This window comes from Homo sapiens, chromosome 5 (genome assembly GCF_000001405.40).
Source record: "Homo sapiens chromosome 5, GRCh38.p14 Primary Assembly".
Classification (NCBI taxonomy): domain Eukaryota; kingdom Metazoa; phylum Chordata; class Mammalia; order Primates; family Hominidae; genus Homo; species Homo sapiens.
Genome location: NC_000005.10, coordinates 108,617,096 through 108,626,764, shown reverse-complemented (window position 1 = coordinate 108,626,764; position 9,669 = coordinate 108,617,096). Strand labels below are relative to the sequence as shown.

Genomic DNA, 9,669 nt, shown 5'->3' with positions numbered 1-9,669 from the left:
AACCAGGTTGGTTTCAGCAAACCTCTCAATCAACTCTAAATTGCATTTGGGGTAGAAAACCAGGGGGTGGTATTTTTTTCTCCCTACACCTCTGGGGCTTGCTTTGATTGAATATCTTGACTCACGAAGGCAGGTCAGACTCCAAGCTTCTTTAGGGTTAAAATGTGCCTGTGAACAGGTTGCCAGCATTCTGAGCCTGATTTTTCTTCTTCTTTTGAATTCAGAACACCTCCTGAGGTTTCTTCACTACATCCTCACACAGTCCCCTTAGCGGACTCATGGTTGGTCTGGTTAAAAGCTAGTCTGAACACTATCTTCGCTACCTGCTGTGGGCTGACAGACTCTAACTTTGTTGTGTTTCCAGATCTTTGTCTCTTACTGTTTGGAAATGGGAATATACAGCTGCAATGTGGCAATCAAAGTGGGGGAGGTGATCATTTACATTCTAACACACAGAGACTTCCTAGTCAAGGTTACTTATAAATCAAATGGATGTCATTTCATAAACACCCCCAAACAACTGTATTTCATTATGAAAATGTGAAGCAGTGCTGTTAATTGATATCTAAGGACTAAAATCAATTTAACTTACAGACACTCAGCTGCTACAACAGTTGTGAACATGTCTGAATGTTAATAAACACTGATTAGTATTAATACCATACAAGATTTTAAATGTGGCTGGCATGAAATTCTCAATCTAATGGACAGGGAAGCCTGTTGACAAAGATTTATTCTCTATATTCTCTTGTAGACAGAAATTTTCTTAGGCTTGACAGCATCACCATCAGTTTCACAAGCGTACTATGGCACTTGGTTTTTTAGAGACTATAACAATCTCATGAAAAGAAAGAGGGTTGAACACTCATTTGTCACTCAGACACAACACTGAAATGACACAGAGCAAACTGAGGAGCAGCAAGTGAAATGTGAAAATGAAGAGGAAAGAGAAAGTGAAGATGCACAGGCCATAATAATACAGAACAGCGGTACAGATGAGGGACTGTTCCCCAGAGAAGTTGACAGTAGCCATGACCTCCAAAACAAGTGATAATGCAGAGACACAGCTTACTTTTGTTACCTTTCAACACAATGTAAAGGAGCAAAATGAAAGGAAGAAAAATATATTGATTGGAATTGCAGAGATCGTCTGATTTTAGCAAGTTTCATGTGAACTCTGATTCTCTTTTCTCGCTCACCATTATTTGCCTTGACTATTCTGTATAGAAAATGTCTCCACTCAGAGTGGAGAGGTAAGGTCAGGATTAATATGATTCAGTGGGTTTTACTTGAATAATATCTCTGTTCTAGGATAGTTATATTTTAACTGAACACAGTTAAACACAAAAATATTTCAAAACCACTTCAACTTCCACCAGTCTCCACTGTAGGAAAAAGTATACAAAGAGGCTCAACAAATGTTTCACCTAAAAAAACAGGTGAAAAGAGAACACTACCTTTAAAAATGCAATCAAATTTAAATGACAGTCCATGCAAAATTTTTGTTTTGGAAATTGGCAATCAAATTCTAAAACTTAGATGGAAAGGCAAAGAGCCAAGCATAGCTAAGGCAATCTTAAAGAAAAACAAAGCTGCTGGACTTGTATTATCAGATACCAAGAGCTGTAATAATTAAGACAGTATGGTAGTGGCATAAGAATTGACAAATAGAGCAATGGAAGAGAAAAGAAAGTCCAGAAATAGGCCTAAACATATATGGTTACCTGATTTATGACAAAGATGACATTGCAGTGCAGTGGGGAAAGAATAATCTTCTTAATAATTGGTGTTGGATCAAGTAGATACCCAGATGGGAAAAATAAATTTGTGCCCCACCTCTCACCATACAAAAAAATAAATTCTAAATGGGTTGCAGATCCAAATGTGAAAGGTAAAACAAAGTTTCTAGAAGAAAATGTAGGAGAATTTCTTCATGACTGTGACATGGGCAAAATTTCTTAACCATATAAAGAAAAAGATTGATAAATTGAACTTCAAGCACTGTGTATTAAAGGACACCATTAAATGGGTAAAACTACCACCCATCATATAGGGAAGATATTTGTAATACAGATAACCAACCAAGGACTTAAAGCCAGATTATGTAAAGAATAATGCAAATTGGGAAAAACTCTAATATTTTATGGTGTTTTCTCTGCTCTCACACCACAAAAATCATCAACATAGAAGACTTCTGGGACCAAATGTGTGTGTGAGAAGGCTCTCCCCACCACCAAGTGGGCAATCAGTTCCCCAGTGGACAGCACTGGGTGTCCCCCCATTCAGTTCCGACACTATCTACCTGGAGATAACATCAGATCTCACAGGTTGAAGGCTCGGTCCCCAAGAATATCCACTTTCAGATACCAGTCTCAAGTCCTGGCCTCTGGAACTTCTGACCAACAAGCTTCAAGTTAAGCTTCCCACGACCCTCTCTTTGGGTTTGATTAATTTGCTGGAGTGGCTCACAGAACTCAAGGAAACACTTACATTTACTGGTTTATTATAAAGGATATTACAAAGGCTACAGATGAAGAGATACATAAGGAGAGGAGGGGAAGGTGTGTGGAGCTTCCATGCCCTCCCTGGGAGCACCACCCTCTAGGAACCTCCATGTATTCAGCTATCTGGAAGCTCACCAAACCCTGTCCTTTTGGGTTTTTATGGAGGCTTCATTACATAGGCATGATTGACAACTTCATAGACATGTGACTGGACAAGAGTATGATCTCATACTAGAAGACTGAGTGGGGAAACTCAGCAAGACCTGTCTGTTCAGATTCTTCTTGTCCATTCTGTGCAGCATTCCTTCCTCCAGAGTATGGGGTGGGACCCTCTCTGGAATAAGGGTCTTTTGACCCACAATTAGATTAGAGTCCTGTTTTGAGCAGGTAAAAGGAGGCCAGGATAAAATTAGAGAGAGAGATTCTGTTTCCTGGGGCCTGCTCCTGAAGCCTAAAACACCCCAAAATTATAACAAAAGATTGTAACAAAGGCTATGGGATTTATGAGACTATAACAAAGGCTAAAGGAGTGATGAGCCAGGAACTGTGGACAAAATACATATAATATATATATATTATATTATATATTATACATATTTTATATAATACATTATATAATTAATATATAATCAACTGTATATTACATATTTAAATAATATATAATTTATAGATAATATATAAATTAATGTATATATAGATTTTTTCTTATTCATTTGTGTGATAGGAATGTATAGATGTATATATGAAAAAGACAAATAACCTAATACAAAAATAAGGTTTTACTTGGACAGAGAATATCCAAGTGGTCAACGAACATATGAGAATGAACTCAAGTTCATCATAAGCAAATGCCACACTGAAGAAAATAAAATATACTTATCAAAAGTAAAAGTTGGGTATTATCACCTTCTGGTACACCTAATAATTGGATGTTCTTTCTTCTAGGTCTTTCTGTTAGTACATATGGCCAACTGGCCTACTCTAGTGGGCAGTATGTACACAGGTAAGGAAAGTTGCACTTTTCTCCTTCTTGGCTTATGTGTATAACCATTTTTCCCAAGACAGGAATAATACAGGGCGATCATAGGAAAATAGAAAATTCCGGGCAGCAGTTTCACATGACTAGCAAAAGCAAACTGCTGAAATAACTGCAGAATCTAGGGGCCGAGAAGATCCTGAAAAACCAAGGTGTAGGCCAAGCTGGCTAAGACTGACTGGACCCACCATGGCACTAGATTTGACCGAGGATTCACCTAGGACTGCATTATGTGCTCATTAGCATACTAAACCCACACCCATCAGTACCATGACAGTTCTGGGAACACTCATTTTTGTCGTAAAAATGAGTGGCACGCCAGGTGCGGTGGCTCACACTTGTAACCCCAGCACTTTGGGAGGCCGAGGCGGGCAGATCACCTGAGGTCGGGAGTTTGAGACCAGCCTGACCAACATGGAGAAACCCCGTCTCTACTAAAAATACAAAATTAGCCAGGCGTGGTGGCATATGCCTGTAATCCCAGCTACTAGGGAGGCTGAGGCAGGAGAATCGCTTGAACCTGGGAGGCAGAGGTTGCGGTGAGCCGAGATTGCGCCATTGCACTCCAGCCTGGGCAACAAGAGCGAAACTCCGTCTTAAAAAAAAAAAAAAGAGTGGCATCACAGTTCCCAGAAATCTCCATCTTTTTCCAGGAATATTCATGAATATTCTACCCTTTGGTTAAAGAAACTCATAAAGATAGCAGCCCCAAACTGCCCTGTGTGTGTGGGAGTATGCCCACACTCCGCTTTGTTGTGTACTTTTCATTTTGCAATAATCTCCATACTTTCTCTGTTTTCTGACTCATCCTTGAATTCATTCTCAAGGTGATGTCAAGAGCCTGGACACTGGTTGGGGTCGAGGTCCCACTGCCATTTCGGGACCTCCCCGAGCACACTGGTATCACTCCTATCCAATCTATTGATGCAAAGCAACAGGATCTATCAAGCACATATATCTTTGCTTTATAAGTGGGCTTCTGGGGTCCTAGTAATATACTTTCTATCTGGACATTGATTATACAGGTGTGTTCAGTTTGTAAAAATCATCCAACTGTGTACCCATAATTTGTTTACTTCTCTGTATAAATGTTATACACATATTATAGCTGTTATACTTCAATAAAAAGTTTTAAAAATCAAATAACACCTGAACCTAAAATCTTAACGGATCCTTATTCTCTGCTACAACCTACAGGAATATTGAAAGATCTGTTAATACAATGAACACACATACACTATATACTATATTCACCAATTAGTAAAATTTTGCCACATTTGCTTTCTCTCTTTCTCTCCATCCATATACACACCATTTTATCTGAACCAGTTAGGAGTAAGCTGTGGACATCATTATACTTTACTTCTAAATTCTTCAGTGTATCTCCTAAAAACAAGAATATGACCACACAAACACTTGTAAAAGGAAAAAACAAACTACTTTTTCCTCTGTACTTTCACACTCAACACAGCACAGAATACTTCTTTTTGTTTTAGAAGACAGTTTTAAAACTGTATACATTTATTGTGTACAGCATGATGTTTTGAAATATGTATACATTGTGGAATGGTTAAATCAAGCTAATTAACATATGTATTACCTCACATACTTATCATTTTTTTTGTGTGGCAAGAATGCCAAAAATCCACTCTTTTGGTGATCTTCAAGAATTTGTTATTAACTATAGTCACTGTGTTGTACAACAGATCTCTTGATCTTACTCCTTCTAACTGTAAGTTTTTATCCTTTGACCAATATCTCCCAAACCACCCTGCTCCGCCAACTCCTGGTAACCACCATTCTACTCTCTGCTTCTATTGTGTTCAATTTTTTTAGATTCCACACCTAAGTGAGATAATGTGATATTTATCTTTCTGTGCCTGGCTTCATTTAATGTCTTCCAGGTTCATCCATTTTGTTGCAAATGACAGGAATCTCCTCTCTTTTTAAAGTCTGAATAGTATCTCATTGTGTATATATGCCACATTTTCTTTACCCATTCGTCCAGTTGTTACAGTAGTGTAGCTAGTCAGACAAGAGTGGGGCAGGAGAGCAATCCCCCAACCAGGAATGTCAGGTGACCATCAGGTGATGGTTAGGCAGTTGTTAACTCTTGTTAACTGTCTCTCAAAAATAGTAATTGTTCACAGCCAGGACCACGGAAAGGTAGTCTCCCAAAAGATATGAAAAACCTGAATCTGGTGATCAGCACCTTCCCCAGAAGATCTCAGGAGTTGGTGAAGTGGGCTTACACATGTGCAGTAAGAGAAAAAATGGAGAAGCTTTACTGGTATATGACCTTACAGGAACACTCAACTGGTAAGGGAAGAACGTCTCAAGTGAGCATGCATACAACTTCAGTAAACACACTGCATGCAGCCCTTCCCAGGCGCCAGCAGGCCACTGTACATGTAGACAGCCCACCCCAAGGGAAGAATCAGGGGAGAAGTAACGCGACCCTGGAAGCATGCCAATCTATAAAACCCCAAGTCAAAGGTCAACCTGTGCACTTGATCTCTCAAGTTGCCTGCTTGGCCCTCTTCCAAGTGTACTTTACTTCCTTTCATTCCCACTCTAAAGCATTTGAATAAACTTTCACTCCTGCTCTAAAACTTGCCTCAGTCTTTCACTCTGCCTTATGCCCCTCCGTCAAATTCTTTCTTCTAAGGAGGCAAGACTGGAGGTTGCTGCAGACCTGCACAGATTCGCTACCACTAACACGGGGATGGACACCTAAGTTAATTCCATACCATAGCTATTGTGAATGATACTGCAATGAACATGGGAGTGCAGATGTGTCTTGACATACTGTGAAAAGATTTTTTTTTTTTTTTCTGGAGACGGAGTCTCGCTCTGATGCCCAGGCTGGGGTGCAGTGGCATGATCTCAGCTCGCTGCAACCTCCGCCTCCCGGTTCAAGCGATTCTCCTCCTTCAGCCTCCCGAGTAGCTGGGACTACAGGTGCATGCCGCCACACCCGGCCAATTTTTTGTATTTCAGTAGAGACAGGGTTTCACCATTGTTGCCCAGGCTGGTCTCGAACTCCTGAGCTCAGCCAATCCACCCGTCTCAGCCTCCCAAAGTGCTAGGATTACAGGCATGAGCCACCGTGCCTGTGAGAAGATATTTTAATTGTCCAGTTGCAAGGCATGATAAATCTAAGCACTGGCAGCCAGCCTGCGGGCGTAACAAACCGCAGGGCTCATGCACCTAGAAAGTCACGATAAGCGAACAGAATGTAAAGGAGGGGTCAGCCCATAAAAGGGAATAAAGTTTCATTATTGAAAAATCAAAACTTAAGCAGGGAAGGGGACCTGAGTATGATCTTATAAGGGGATAATGAAACTTGGGCGATGTCCGGGAAGATTGTAACCCCATAGTGCTCAACCAATGAGGAACTGGGAAGAGGGACTTGTGTGCTAGGAAATAAATTGCCTGCTGTAACTGCCCCAGGTGTGCCTGCCTACCAGACACCCGATCTTGCAAGACCGCCATTAAAAGTCTCGCTTCCGCTATTCTTTGTGTCTCTGAGTACATTGTTTGGGTTTGGACAGGTGAGTGTGTTTCTCACAATACTGATTTCGTTTTTTCATTTTCTTTGGATATATACCCGACGGTGGGATTGCTGGATCATATGGTAGTTCTATTTTGAAATTTTTAAAGTCTTTTTGAAATTTTTGAAGTTTCCATAATGGGTATACTAATTTATATTCCCACCAAAAGTGTACAAGTGTTCCTTCTCTCCACATCCTTACCAATACTTGTTAGCTTTCATCTTTTTTATAATGGCCATTCTAACAGGTGTGAGGTGATATCTCATTATGTTTTTGATTTGCATTTCTCTGATGATTAGTGATTTTGAGGATTTTTTCATTTACTTGTTGGCCATTTGTATGTCTTATTTCAAAATGTCTATTTAGGTCCTTAGCCCATTTTTAAGTTGGGTTATTTGTTTTCTATTTAGTTGCTTGAGTTCTTGTATATTTTTGGATGTTAACCCATTATCAGATGTATGGTTTGCAAAATATTTTCTCCCATTCCATAGGTAGTCTCTTCACTCTCTTGATTGTTTCCTTTGTGGTGCAGAAGCTTTTTAGTTTGATGCCATTCAATTTGTTTATTTTTGCTTTGTTGCCTGTGCTTTTGTGGTCATAGCCAAAAAATCTTCACCCAGACCAATGTCATGAAGCTTTCCCCCTATGGTTTCTTCCAGTAGTTTTACAGTTTCAGGTCTTATATTTAAGTCTTCAACGCATTTTCAGTTGATTTTTATGTATGATGTGAGATGAGGGCCTAATTTCATTCTTCTGCATGTGAATATTCAGTTTTTGCAACACCATTTATTGAATAGACTTTTCTTTCCCCATTGTACAGAGCACTTCTGTGACCATATGTGTAGGGATTATTCCCCACATGCCAAGCAATTCTCCAACTCTCTAAATGCCAGCTGGATGTCCTATAATTCACTTCGATTCTGACATTACCTGGAGAGCATTGGATACCACAGGTGAAGGGCTCACTGCCACAAGACTGCTCCTACTGTAGATGCCAATCACAAGTTCCAGGTTGTAGCCTGTGCTTCTGACTGAGCAGCTATAAATCGAGGTTCCTATCTCCACCTTCTTGGGTTTGATAATTCACTAGGATCACTTATAGAACCCAGGGAAACATTTTATGTACATTTATTGTTTTATTATAAAGGATATTATAAAGGATACAGATGAATAGCCACATGAAGAAATGCATAGGGCAAAGTATGGAGGAAGAGGTGTGGAGCTTCCATGCTCTCCTCAGGCATGCCACGTAGCACCTCCAAGTGTTCAAGAGGTTTTATACAGCTTAATCTCCAGCCTCCTCACCTCCTCGCCTCCTTGCCCCCTCCCACCCTTTACTGGAGGTTGGGTGGTGGGACTGAAAGTTCCAACTCTAATCTTCTAATCCTTAGGTATTCATGGCAACCAGCCCCTTCACGGGCTATCCTAGAGCCCCACCCTGAGTCACCTCATTAGCAAAAACTTAGGCAAAGGGTGTTATGAATAACAAAGACACTCCTATTACTCGGGAAATTCCAAGAATTTTAAGAGCTTTGTGATAAGAATCAGTGACAGAGACTAAATATATTTTATGTTATACCACAGCACTACGTAACCAGAAGACCACTATTATACTGAAAATATTGAACAGTTCTTATGTAAATTCCATATTCAAATTTCTCCAATTGTCCCAATAATATCCTTTATAGATTTTTGTTTTCCTAGAGATCCGGGTCTCAAACAATTTGTTGTCAAGTCTCTTCAGTAGCAGTTGCTCTCCTTCTCCTGGCTACCTGGTGAGGGAGACATTCTGCATTCTCTACCTTGCCCCAGTCTTCCTCCAAAGTGCCCACTGGGGTCTGTGCAGAGTAGCCTGGAAGTGCTTGTAAATGTCCCTTGTACCTAAGGCCTCCAGTGGCTCTGTATTTTCAGACTTGCCCATACTCAACTTTTAGCAATTCATTAATAATTTTACCTTAAATTGTACTCACTTGTATAATGACCTCATCTTCCTCTGTGCTCTGCCAAAGGCAACCCACTGCTCATGCGCTGTCTCTTCCTGGAAGCATCCATTTTTAACTTATACTAGTTGCATACACTGGAAAACGTAGCTCTTAGATGGGTTCAAGAAAATGATGCCTTTTTACAATATGTAACATTCACTTGATCTTTGGGTTGGAATGACACCTTCCAACTTTCCACATCTTAAGAAGCTGGAACTCAACTTGATTTTAAACATTTAATGTATTCTTTTTCACATTAGAATTTTGAATGTGAAACAATTTGAGCATCAAAATGATACCTTCAAGCTGCCTCTTGTGACATTTTGACATGTTGCCATTCATTCTTGAGCACTTCCCTTCTAGCATAAGATCTTCCATGCTCACACTGTACTTTTTCTGCTTCAGATCTGGAACTGGTCTTGTCTTTACAGATCTTTGGTTCCTTTTAGTGGGAAGTAGCAAGGGGAGACCTGAATGCTAAATGTGTTCATTTCCACGGAGTTGTCATTATTTCTAGGAACTTTTAGTGATAAAGCTAACAAATATATAATTTTTAAAAAAATATTAGTTTGTACAGATATTGCCTATTCCAT

General features: G+C 39.9%; 1 annotated feature.

Annotated features, from left to right (window-relative positions):
• Positions 8,230–8,875: an enhancer, noted in NCBI's record as "NANOG-H3K27ac hESC enhancer chr5:107953591-107954236 (GRCh37/hg19 assembly coordinates)". NCBI's record gives its function as "activates a minimal SCP1, AML or CMV promoter by ChIP-STARR-seq in naive H9 embryonic stem cells {active_cell/tissue: H9 hESC(naive)}" and the evidence as "EXISTENCE:reporter gene assay evidence [ECO:0000049][PMID:30033119]".